General features: G+C 43.6%; 1 protein-coding gene and 1 pseudogene across 15 annotated transcripts in view, besides 2 other annotated features; both read right to left on the reverse strand.

Moving 5' to 3' along the window:
• The window catches only part of SLC39A11 (solute carrier family 39 member 11), a 446,740-nt gene that overhangs the window by 16,623 nt on the left and 417,100 nt on the right, over window positions 1–13,017 (reverse strand). The gene's annotated exons all lie outside the window — the stretch shown is intronic.
• On the reverse strand, window positions 1,342–1,581 carry RN7SKP180 (RN7SK pseudogene 180; annotated as a pseudogene).
• Window positions 4,227–4,870: an enhancer, noted in NCBI's record as "NANOG-H3K4me1 hESC enhancer chr17:70662937-70663580 (GRCh37/hg19 assembly coordinates)". NCBI's record gives its function as "activates a minimal SCP1, AML or CMV promoter by ChIP-STARR-seq in primed H9 embryonic stem cells {active_cell/tissue: H9 hESC(primed)}" and the evidence as "EXISTENCE:reporter gene assay evidence [ECO:0000049][PMID:30033119]".
• Window positions 4,871–5,513: an enhancer, noted in NCBI's record as "H3K4me1 hESC enhancer chr17:70663581-70664223 (GRCh37/hg19 assembly coordinates)". NCBI's record gives its function as "activates a minimal SCP1, AML or CMV promoter by ChIP-STARR-seq in primed H9 embryonic stem cells {active_cell/tissue: H9 hESC(primed)}" and the evidence as "EXISTENCE:reporter gene assay evidence [ECO:0000049][PMID:30033119]".

Raw genomic sequence — 13,017 nt, forward strand, 5'->3', positions numbered from 1 at the left:
AGGAAAGAAAGGAAGGAAAAGGAAAGAAAAGGAAGGAAGGAAGGAGAGAAGAAAGAGAAGAAAGAGAGAAAGAAAAAGAAAAAAGAAAAGAAAAAGGAAGGAAAAGAAGGAAAAGAAAAAGAAAAGGAAGGAGGGAAGAAAGAGAAGAAAGAGAGAGAGAGAAAGAAAAAAGAAAAAAAGGAAGGAAAGGAAGGAAAAGAAAAGAAAGGAAGGAAGGAAGGAGGGAAGAAAGAGAAGAAAGAGAGAAAGAAAGAGAAAGAGAGAAAGAAAGACAGGCACACACATCCTGGGAGTGCTGTTATTCATGGCAGTGCTATCAATAATAGTCATAAACTGGAAACCATGCAAGTGCCCCTCTACAACAGAATGAGTAAAATAAACTCATTTTATTCCTTGTGTTCTATTCACACAATGGAATACTGTGTGGCAATAAGAATGAAAGGTTTATACCTCTGTGTGAGTCTGGAGCCACGTCACAGACACAATTCTGAGTGAGAAAAACTAGACACAAAATAGTAAGTGTTGTACAGTCCTATTTACACAAAGTCCCCAAACAGGCACAACCAAGCTATGCCTTCTTAGCTACTAATTTAATGGCCATTAGCCCATTGGCAGTTTAATTTGTTAATTCTCCTTAACATATTTGAAATTTTACAAACAACACGTTTGAGCAGAAACCGACAACTCTCTAAAGGTAGGATTTCAGTTCCTAGGGAGGAGTCATATTTTTGGGAAAAGAGTATCTTCCCATTACCTTTTTAAAAAGATATTTTACTGCAGTTGAATGTATGTTCAGAAAAGAGCAGATCCGCCTGCGTTGTACAGGATAACGTTTCAGAAACTAAGCAAACCCATGAAACCCACATCCCGATCAAGAAACGGAACATCACCAGCACCCTGAGACCCCCTCAATCCTGGGCTCCTGCTCCTCATGGGCCTCTCCTGAAGGAGAATCACTATCCTCACTTCTAACAGCAGAGCCTAGTTATATGTGATTTTGAACTTTATATAGATAGTTGAGGCAGCAGTGCAAGGCCCCAGAAGAGGATCGCCTGGGGGTCTGAATGATGAGGGCCTCAGTCTCATTTCCTGCGGACCTGGCATGTGGACAGTCTCCTTAGATCATGAGTTTGGACATCCGTGTGGGGTATTGCCTCAGGATATGAACGTCTGTCCCGCGAAGCATCTCTCACTCCAGTTTCTTATTCACGGAGGGCTTCAGCCTCTCCATCTGCAGCAAACACATCAGGGGAGGAGATGCAACCAAAACATTTAGTTCCCCAGCTCTCAAAATACTATCGCAAACCACTAACAATGTTTCCAGAATTTTAGTGCTTTCTTCTTGAGAGCTTGTTTGGAGGTTCTAGCAGGGGAGCGCAGCTACTTGTATACCCTTGACCGAAGACCGGTCCTCCTCTATTGGGGATGGTCGTCCTCTTCAACCAAGTGCACAGCTTCGGGAGGGACGCACATGGAGCGGTGAGGGAGGAAAGGGACACCCGCCTAGCCAGCCAGATCAGCCGAATCAACCCTGGCAATCAATGGAGTGACAGATGTCACAGCCAGATTGCCCTCACATCCTTAGTGCTTTCTTCTAAGGAGCTTTAAGTGCCTTTATAAACAGTTATTATTTCTATGACAGAGGAGGTCCATTTTCTATTTTGTAGATGTAGTAACCAAGGTCCACAAAGGGTAAGCCATGGACTGAAGGACACGCCGTGGGTCCCTGCAGTGAGGGAAAGGATGCTGGATGCCAAGCCCTCTTCCATACCTCATTGCTCCACATAAAACTGCAGAAGGCAGGGAGGGAAAGTGGTCAGTGGCAGCTTTGGGGAAGAGGAGACCATAAACCGTGGTGCCATTCTTGGCTACTCTCTGTCACACCTTATATGCAATTTGCCAGGGAAACCAGAGGCGGGGATCTACCTTTAGATCTGATGAGAATCCAGCCACTTCTCCCCTCTTCCATGGCTATACTAAGGTGCAAGCCTCCATCATGTCCTTCCTGGGCTACAGTAACAGCCTCCTAACCAGTCTCCCTGCTTCCACCTTTGCCCCTATAAACTCTATTCTCTGCAAATTTGCTAAGTCTGATTATGCTGCTCCTGTGTTGAAGACACTGCAGTGGCTCCCCATTCCACTCAGGGCCAGGGCCCACATCCCCTGCTGGCCTGTAATGACTTACACATTCATGCCCTCCGTTCTCTTCTTCTCTTCTGATTTATCTTCTCTCCATTCTCTCTTCTCTCCATTCTTTTCTCCCTCCATTCTCTTCTTCTCTTCTGATTTCTTCTTCTATTGATCTCTTCCTAGCTCCAGCTACACCAGCCATCTGGTCTCCTTGCTGTTCCTCCAGAATGCCTGGTTACTTCTACCTTGGGGCATTTTCACTGGAACATTCCTTCTCAGTTATCAGTGGCTCATTTCTTCAACTCTTTGAAGGCAAGGCCACAGGACCTTCCCAAGGCCAGATCATAAAAGGCTTGTAGCTTCTTTCTCTCTTCTCTCTCTCTGGACTACTAGCTCTGGGGGAAGCCAGTTGCCATACTGTGAGAATATTCAAGCAGCCATGTGGAGGTGCCTACATGATGAGGAACTGAGACTTCCTGCCAACAGCCATGGGAGTGCGCCATCTTGGAAATGGATCCTTCAGCCCCAGTCAAGACTTCAGGTGACTGCAGCCCCAGCTGACCTCTCTTGATTGCCACCTCATGAGAGACCCTGAGCCAGGACCACTCAGCAAAACCACTCTCAGATTCTTAACCCATAAAAAAATTGAGATAATCTTTGTTGGTTTAAGCCACCAAGTTTTGAGGTGTTTTTTTTTTTTTTTTTTTTTGAGACAGGGTCTTGCTGTTGCCCAGGCTGGAGTGCAGTGGCATGATCATGGCTCACTGCAGCCTTGACCTCTCAGGTTAAAGCTATCCTCCCATCTCAGCCTCTGAAGACCAAGGCATGTGCTACCAGGCCCAGCTAATTTTTTAAAAATTACTTTTATAGAGATGGGGGTCTCACTATATTTCCCCGGCTTGTCTTGAATTCCTGGGCCCAAGTGATTCTCCTACCTCAGCTCCCAAAGTGTTGGGATTAAAGGTGTGAGCCACCACACCCAACCAAGTTTTGAGGTATTCCGTTACGCAGCAATAAGTAACTAATACAGTCACCTTCTCAATGAAATCTACCTTTTTTCTAAAACCTAGTCTTTCTCTTTCTTTTTCTTTCTTTCTCTTTCTTTTCTCTCTCTTCCTTTTGATAGCATTTATTATCTCCTAACCTACTATATATAAGGTATTAATTGTTTATGTTTATTATCTGTTCTTTCTCCCACACCTGACCTCACACTCAAACAAGCTAGGATTCTCTGTTCACTGATTTATCCCAAGCACATAGTCAAATGCCAGGTGCATACAGCAATGAAACAGACATGTGTGCAGATGCACGTCTAAGAGTTCTAGCAGGTCTGATGTCTGCTCCCAGCTGCGTGTAATCAATCAGCAGGGAGCATGTCACAATTCTCTGGGCCTCGGTGTCTTCAGCTGTAAAATAAGGAGGTTAAATTGGGCGACCCGTAAGTTCTTTTCCAGATCCTACGTTTTGTGATCCCTAAACAACGAGGGTATTGTGGGTTCTCTAGATTCCAGGGGTTGCAGAGACAGGCCTCTGCCTTTGCCAAAGCTCATTTTCCTGTCCATTTTCCGTGCACATCTGGAAAGCCAAAAAGCAAAACCATCGCATTGTGCACATCTGGACAGCATAAACCGACCACTCCAAGAGGAAACTCCAAAACGGCTGCTCAGCAAAACGGCAGTGGAGGCCAAATGAGAAAGGTTGAAAGGGCTCCTTTCTTTTCTACCCGCAAAACAATCTTCTGGGCACAATCTTAGGAGCTGAATGCTTTGCCGCTGAATAACATACGCTCTCAATAGGCTTCGACTGCAGTCTCTGTCACTTTGCTCTCTGCCTGGCTCCTGGCCAATGCAAAACATACAGAAGGGGGCTTTCTCCCCCACTGCCCCCTTGTTTAGACGGATCTATACCTTCACTTATCCTTGGGGCATGTGGCCCAAGTTCAAAGCTGAACACCAACACCACCTGCTCCTCCTCTTCCTTCAGGGAGAGTGATTGAACTGCACGCCTAATGCAAACTAAAGGGGGAGTTTTCAGGGCTCGTGAGAAATCCTTGGCTATTTGCATGCAGTTAGAACATGCTCCCTTCCCTCCGTGGCTGAGAAGAGAAAGCTGCCTGGCAGTATGTAGTCTTGTTGTTTGACAACCAGCTTGGGATTCCAAAACAAACAGGAATGATTATTCCTATTCCTTTGCAAATGATTTGAGGTTTCAGGGGCATTGAATTTATGCAGTGCAGGGAGAGCGAGAGGCATGTCCTGAAATGTGGGGTGCTTCCCATTTGCACCTTCAGAGCTGATAATGTCCAGGGCTTGCTGGGGAGGACACTTTGGAGCACAGGAAAGTTTAAGCGGCAATAGAGAGCCTTTGAGTCAATGTCTTGTGAATAGCAGGGGATGCCTGCAAGGGGAGAATAAAGGTGAATGGAGACCTTGGGGTTAGGGTCATTCTCTAGACCTCCCTGAAGGGTGTAGGTGAAGAGGCAGGAGCAAGATGCAGGAAGTTAATAGCCCTGAAGTCTAGCCCTGGACCCTCACCCTCAAACAGCGGCATCTCCGTATGACTCAGGACACTCTATGAGGTGAGACTCCTGCTGTTACCCTGAAGCCTAACCATATGGAAAGCACATGGCCTGCTGACTCTAGGTGCAGGGGGCGCTTTAGAAAACCAGGCGAGAAGCTGGCAAGAAAAGGAACAAAAGAGAAATCTTTTCCTTCCTTGCACTGTGTATTTTTGGACTTGCTTTCTAGCTAGCCAGGGACTCAGTGCTTTGCCATTGGGAAACAATTGTGTTTTCTTGGCTTCCCAGTATGGATGGCTGAGGGCAAGTGCAGGGTGCATGGCCAGGACGCCAGTGCCAGTAGGGTGGCTGGGGATATCATCAGCTGGGAGGCTCAGCACCTGCTGCTTTGCATATGCTACCAATGCTATGAAGATGGTGGGCAAAGCAACCACCCTCACCAGAGCCACTTCTTCCAGGAATGCCTGGTGCAGACTGCAGAGGCACCAGGCCAATAGCAACCATGGCAGGAACACCAGCACTGCTTACTAAGCCCCTGCCCTACACCAGGCCCAATGCTAAGCACTGTTCATGCATCTTCTCATTTTTCTCTGGCACTTGCTCTATGCAGAAAATATTACCAACCCATTTTATAGATGAAGAAACTGAGGCTTACAGAAGTTAAGTACTCTCTCCCAAGTTCACCAGCCTGTAAGCAGCCCAGCTGAAATTTCAGTTCAGGTCTGCTGACTCCAGAGCTCAAGGGCTTCCCCTGTGTGGCCATGCTGCCTCCCATATTCCTGCAGAAACAGTGCAGAGTGAGGGTGGATCTTGCTGTAATCTTGGTTTAGGGTAGCCTGTGATTATTAGCAATACTTTGTACCATGAAATCATGTATTGCCAATTTTCCTCTGTGGGGTGGAATCTGACACAGACAATGTGAAAGATTTCTATAAATATTAATGCTGTTTGCTATAAATATTAATGCTGTTTAAGAATCTTTTAAAAAAAAAAAAGAAGTTTCCAGTATTTTCAGTGACTCACTGGCTTCTAGCACATACCTGGTGGGCTTTTCTCTCTTGACCAAGTCAGTAACTATAAAGCAAAAAAAAAAAAAAATTCCCTAGCTCTGATTAGATGCTGAGTTTAACTGGCTCTGACGGATGCCCCAGGAAATATTCCCAAGGTGCCAAACTCCGGTCTTCTGGGTGGGAGGAAGCCAATGTAATACTTTTATCTCTGTAGCTCTTGCTGGTCAGTCCCCACTGAAGTTTGCAAACTCTGTGTGCTGGTTTGTGCAAGAGGGACTATGAAGCTGGTTTTGACTTTGCAAACAGCACAGACCTCTGAGGGATAACTCAGCAATGTGCAGAGGGGTAGAAAAAAGGAATGAGAAGTTCAAAGTGAGGAGAGAGAGCACAACCACAGCTATGAATGGGCATGAAGGAAGGAGAAAAGTTGGGACCAGTGTCCACCACATGGCCAAGAAAGTGTAATCATGCAACAACTGCTTGGTCCCCACCTGGAGAGCCACTCACAGACACACAGTGTTCAGAGCCCATCAACTCAGAGCTGAGACTTAATAACTAATCTGTGGAAATAGGAGTTTATAGCAATGGTCTTCTACCCCTGTTGAAAACTGCATCCTATGGAAGACAGCCAGTTCTCAGGGCCCTTCAAAAATGTCAGTGTCATGTGAGACAGAAAAGGCAGGGTACCTGTCTTCCATTAATGGAGATTAAGGAGATGGGACAACCAAAGCAAACAAATAAAACGATACAAGGGAAACACATAAAACAATAGCAACAACTAACCAAACTAACAAATCCATAAAGGACATTGGGAATGTTAAGAAAACCTGAACAGGGTCAGTATATTCGATAATTTTATTATATCAATGTTAAATTTTCTGGATGGGATAACCATATTGTAGTTATGCAGGAGAATGTTTTGTTTTTGTTTTTCTCAAAGTTATATAGGTTGCTCTACCTCAAGACTTCTCGAAAATGTACGTAACTGTAAGACGATGATCAAAACTGGGAAATCACATTGGCACGACACTATGAACTAAACCACAGACTTTATTCAAGTCTCATCAATTCTCCCCTGACATCCTTTTGCTATTTCAGGATCCAGTGTGGGATCCCATGTTGCATTTAGTTGTGATGTCTCCTTTGCCTCCCCTACTTTGCAATAATGTTTCAGTCTTTCCTTGATTTTCATGACTTTGAAGAGTGCTGGCCAGCTATTTTGTAGAATGTCTCTCAAATTTGGGTTTCTCTGATATTTTCTCATGATTACATTGAGGTTATCCTTTTTTGGCAAGAATATCCAGAAGTGATATGTCCACATCAGTCAGAGGGCACAGGAAAACTCGATGTGTCTTATTCCTGGTGATGCCAACCTTGATCACTTGCATAAAGTAGTTTGTGCTGGGTTTCTCCACTATGAAGCCATCATTTCCCTTTTATAGTTAGTAAAAATTTGAAGGGAGATACCAATATGCCAATATCAGCCAGGTGCGGTGGCTTAAGCCTGTAATCCTAATACTTTGAGAGACTGAGGGGGGCAGACTGCTTGAGCCCAGGAGTTGGAGACCCTCCTGGGCAACATAGGGAGACCCCCATCTCTACAAAACAAACTATATGTATACATACACACACACGTATATATACATATACACGTATAGATGTATATACACATATATATACGTATAGATGTATATACACATATATACGTATAGATGTATATACACATATATATACGTATAGATGTATATACACATATATACGTATAGATGTATATACACATATATATACGTATAGATGTATATACACATATATATACGTATAGATGTATATACACATATATATACGTATAGATGTATATACACACATATATATACTTGTACATATATAGTTTGTTTTGTAGAGATACGTATACACACACACACATTTTATATACACACACACACACACACACACACACACACACACACACACACACACACACACATATATATATATGCCAGGCATGGTGGCACACATCTGTGGTCCCAGTTACTCATGAGGCGGAGACAGGATGATCACTTGAGGCTGGGAGGTCAGGGCTACAGTGAGTTGTGATTGTGCCACTGCACTCCAGCCTGGGCAGTGAAGCCAGACCCTGTCTCAAAAAAAAAAAAAATGCAAATATCCTGTTTCTCCTTAAATTTTCTCATAGTAATCTTAGTTCTCATTGGTGGATCTTGCCTACAGCAATTATTACTGTGGTATTCTAGTGAGGGCTTTCCATTTCCTCCCTTCCTTCTACATTTATTAATTGAAATTTATCTATAAGCAAGATCTGTTTCATCTCTTCCATTTAAGAAAACTATTCAATTATTTATTTGTAGCAATATGACTGTACAGAGTCTTTATTCGATGGATCATAATCCACTACTATCATTATTTATTTTGTTGCTCCAATTGTTCCAGCTTTGGCCATTGGGAGCTCCTTCAGGATGGCTCCCTTGTTCTTTTGATAGGTCAAAAGATGCGTTTTGATATGTTCTTTTGACATGGCCTTTTGGAAAGATGTACTTACCTTCTGGCATCCCAAGTATTTCTGGCTCATCTTGTATTTTCACTCCCTAGTCCTTGAATCAACTACTTCCCCAAGAGGTTCTGGTCCCTTTTGCTGAGGAATGGTGTTTAGGAACAAAGGTCCGGGCTCCAGAGGCGCTCACTGTTACTGGGGTATCACTGTTCCATGAAATATACGTACACATACTGTGACAGTTGCAGATACCAGGATGAAATCACCTTGTTTGTCAGACCCAAACAAACTGAAGCCAGGAAAGCACAAAAAGAGAGAGCTCCTGGATGTGTGTCTGAGATAAGGACTGTCTCAAGGGCTTTCTAAAATAACCCTACAAGAGATCCCCTCTTTAGGACTGCAGTAATTCAGATAAGATGCTCTCAAAAGAACAGTTGCCCAGTAACAGCATCTCCACCAATGAACTGACACAAACTCTGGCTTTGAGCTCCCAGAACCAATGAACTCTGTTTCCAAGTAGCTTATGTGAACTTCTCCTTTCTGCCAATAAAAGCTTCCCCTTACCCTCTCCTCTGCAGGTGCATCTGTGGCTTGCCATAGCTGTGCATCCCAGATTATAATCTTTTTTGCTTATTCCCCAATAAATTCATTATATTATTAGGTTGACAATACTAAACCACACATACAAAAATAGCTATATTTAGGCTGGCTGCGGCAGCTCACGCTTGTAATCCCAGCACTTTGGGAGGCCAAGGCAGGTGGATCATCTGAGGTCAGGAGTTCGAGACCAGCCTGGCCAAAACAGTGAAACTCAATCTCTACTAAAAATACAAAAATTAGCTAGGCATGGTGGTGGATGCCTGTAATCTCAGCTACTCAGGAGGCTGAGGCAGGAGAATCGTTTGAACCCAGGAGGTGGCGGTTGCAGTAAGCAGAGATCGTGCCACTGCACTCCAGCCTGGGCAGCAAGAGCAAAACTGTCTAAAAAAAAAAATAGCTATATTTGTTTCTATAGCTATTTACTTCATAAGTAAATCATAAGACAAATACTGAACAATATCACCTATATGCAGAATCTTAAAAAGCTGCATTAATAGAAATAGAGAGTGGAATGGTAGTTGCCAAGGGCTGGGAAGTGAGGGAAATAGGGAGGTATTGGTGAAAGGGTAAAATTTTTCAGTAATAAGATGAATCAGCTCTGGGAATCTAATACACAGAATCGTGACTATAGTAGACAATACTGTATTGTAAACTTGAAATCTGTTAAGAGAATAGATCTTAAATGTTCTCATCATACACATACACACACAAACACACACACACACAGATGGTAACTATGTGAGTTGATGGATATGCTAACAAATTTGACTGTGGTAATCATTTCACTATAAATATGTATATAAACTCAAAACAAAACAAAATCATGTTTTCAGGCTGGGCGCATGGCTCATGCCTATAATCTCAGCACTCTGGGAGGCTGAGGTGGGTGGATCACTTCAGGCCAGGAGTTCGAGACCAACCTGGCCAACACAGTGAAACCTTGACTCTACTAAAAATACAAAAATTGGCCAGGCTTGGTGGCGTGCACCTCTAGTCCCAGCTATTTGGGAGGTTGAGGCATGAAAGTAGCTTGAACCCAGGAGGTGGATGTTACAGTGAGCTGAGATCATGCCACTGCCCTCCAGCCTGGGTGACAGAGTGAAACTCTGTCTCAAAAATAAAAACATAAAAAACAAAATCATGATTTCATGGATAACTCTCATTCTCGACCAGCACCATAAGATTCATCTTAACCTAAAAAGACAGTGAACTGTGGCCGTTGGGCCAAATATGGCCTACCTCCTGTTTGTTTTGTTTTTGTCTGTTTTTTAATTTGTTTTTTGGGATAGGGTCTTGCTTTGTCATCCACGCTGGAGTACAATGACACTATCATGGCTCACTGCTGCCTCAAACTCCTGGGCTCCAGTGATCTTCTTACTCAGCCTCCAGAGTAGCTGGGACCACTGAAATATGCCACCATGCTCAGCTAATTTTTTTTATTTTTTGGTAGAGACAAGGTCTCACTATGCCGCTCAGGCTGATCTCCATAAACTGAACTCTGGGGCTCAAATGATTCTCTCACCTCAGCCTCCCCAAGGGCTGGGATTACAGGTGTGAGCCACCACGCCTAACCCTGCTTCAATAAAGTTTTATTTAACACACTCATACCTATTTGTTTACATATTATCTGTGGCCGTTTTTGTTCAAAGGCACAGTTGAATAGTTGAGAAAAAGACTTTATGGCCCACAAAGCTGAAGATACCCGGCCCTTAAAAGAAACAGTTTATGGGCCCCTGTTCTAGGATTCCTTCTTTCTCTCTTTTTGTTGTTGTTGTTGTGGTTTTTGAGACAGAGTCTTGTCTTACTCTGTCACCCAGGCTGGAGAGCAATGGCATGATCTCAGCTCACTGCAACCTCCAGCTCCTGGGTTCCAGCAGTTCTGCCTCAGCCTCCTGAGTAGCTGGGATTACAGGTGTGTGCCACCACACCTGGCTAGTTTTTGTATTTTTAGTAGAGACGGGGTTTCACCATGTTGGCCAGGCTGGTCTCCAACTCCTGACCTAGTGATCTGCCCACCTCGGCCTCCCAAAGTGCTGGGATTACAAGTGTGAGCCACCGTGCCCGGCCTCTTTCTCTATTTGTATCTTCTTTTGCCAACACTGAGGATGAGATTCTTGTATCTACAATGTATCTTATTTATTTAATCATAGTTTGCACATCAGGTGGTAATAGAATTCCTGTGAGAAAAAGATTTACCATCCAGAGAACAATGTTTGCACAGTTTTTTTTTTCTTTTTGCCTTTAGCCTTGTAGTATCTGTTCAAAAGACTGTTTTCCAAAGAGATTGGTGTGGTTATGTAATTCATTTGTAATACAACTTAGTTTCATTTGTTACTGCTTGTATTCCATTTGGGCTCCCCCATATTTTGGTTTAATTATTTATTGATTTGGGGCAATGTGAAACACTTCTGTAAGAAACAGTCGGAGTTATTCAAGAAGGGAAACTTGGCCGGGCACAGTGGCTCACACCTGTAATCCAGCACTTTGGGAGGCTGAGGTGGGCGGATCACTTGAGGTCAGGAAGGAGTTCAAGATGAGCCTGGCCAACATAGTAAAATACTGTCTCTACTAAAAATACAAAAATTAGCCAGGCGTGGTAGCATGGGCCTGTAATCCCAGCTACTTGGGAGGCTGAGGCAGGAGAATTGCTTGAACCTGGGAGAAGGAGGCTGCAGTGAGCTGAGATCGTGCCACTGCAATCCAGCCTGGGCAATGAAGTGAGACTCTGTCTTTAAAAAAAATAAATAAATAAAGGTAGACTTGTATAGACAACTGTCACTTCCTCCTCACCCTTGTTCCCCACCCCTACTCCCTCCTTCCCTCCCTTGCCACATACCCTCTCTAGGTAATCTGTCTTCTTTGGTCCTGTTTTATCCTTCCAAGTATCTTCTGCACAAGTAAGTGGATATATGTGTATTTTCTTATATCTCCTTCCTTTTTACATCAGTGACAGTATACTACAGATACTCATTTGTATTTAGCTTTTTTCATTTAACAGTATATCCTGAAAACTCCTCTAAATGAGTTCACAGAGATCTTCCCACTCTTTTTGATGGCTATATACTAATCCATGGTGTGGCTACACTATAGCTTACTCATCCACTCTCCCACATATGGGCATTTAGGTTGCCTCCAATATTTTGCAATTACAATGTTGTAATGGATTACCTTGTGTGTCTACGTAGTTTCATATTCTTGGAGGTGTATCTTTAGGGTAGATTCTTAGGAGTGGGTTTCCTGGATCAAAAAGGAAATGCGTATGTACTTTTATTAGATATTGCCAAATTTCTCTCCAGAAGGGTTGTACCAATTTGCATGCCCACCAGCAAGGTATGAGAGAGCCATTTCTCCATATCCTCATCACAGAGTATAATTTCACAGTTTTACATTTTCCCCACTGATAGGTCAGAAATGGTGTCCTAGTGTTGTTACAACTAGCATGTTTATAATGAGGAGGTGAGTTTCAGCGTTTTTCTCATCTGCTTGAGGATGATTTTTAAAACGTGTTTTGGTGAATTATCTGGTCACATCTTTCCCCCAATTTTTCTATCAAAATGTCCTTATTCTTAAAAGATGCCACTGAAATATACATAGATGAGAAGGATCCTGAAGTGTCAAGTCGTTCATTGGAAAAAAAAGTGTGTGTGCGTATGTGTGTGTGTGTGTGTGAGACACAGAGACAGAAAGAGAGAGAGAAAGTTTATCCATCTATCTGAGAGAACAACTGCCCCCCGCTTCCATACACAAAGAGCTAGTTGTCAACAGGCTACTATGTTCCCTTCCATAGCGCTATGGTCTAATGTGTGTGTGCCCCCAAATTTCATATTGTGAAACCTAATCACGATTGTGATGGTATTAGGAGCTGGGGCCTTTGGGAGGTCACTAGGTCATGAGGGATCCACCTTCATGGATGAGATCAGTGCCTGTATAAAAGAAACCCCAGTGAGCTAGCTAGTTCTTCCACTATGTGAGGCTACACAGCAGGGAAACACCATCTACGAACCAGCAAGTGGGTCCTCACGGGCACTGAATCTGCTGGGACCTTGTTCTTGGACTTCCCAGTCTCCAGAACTGTCAGAAATAAATTTCTGTTGTGTGTAATCTACACAGTTTACGGCATTTTGTTTTGGTAGCCCAAATGGACTAAGACATGTAGCAACAGTCAACATAATCTCCCAACCTCCCCTTCCTTTGCCTTCGTGGCTTCTCTATGACAAGACACTCTTGGAAGACCTTAGCTGCCAACAGGCTGA

Source organism: Homo sapiens, chromosome 17 (genome assembly GCF_000001405.40).
Source record: "Homo sapiens chromosome 17, GRCh38.p14 Primary Assembly".
Lineage (NCBI taxonomy): Eukaryota > Metazoa > Chordata > Mammalia > Primates > Hominidae > Homo > Homo sapiens.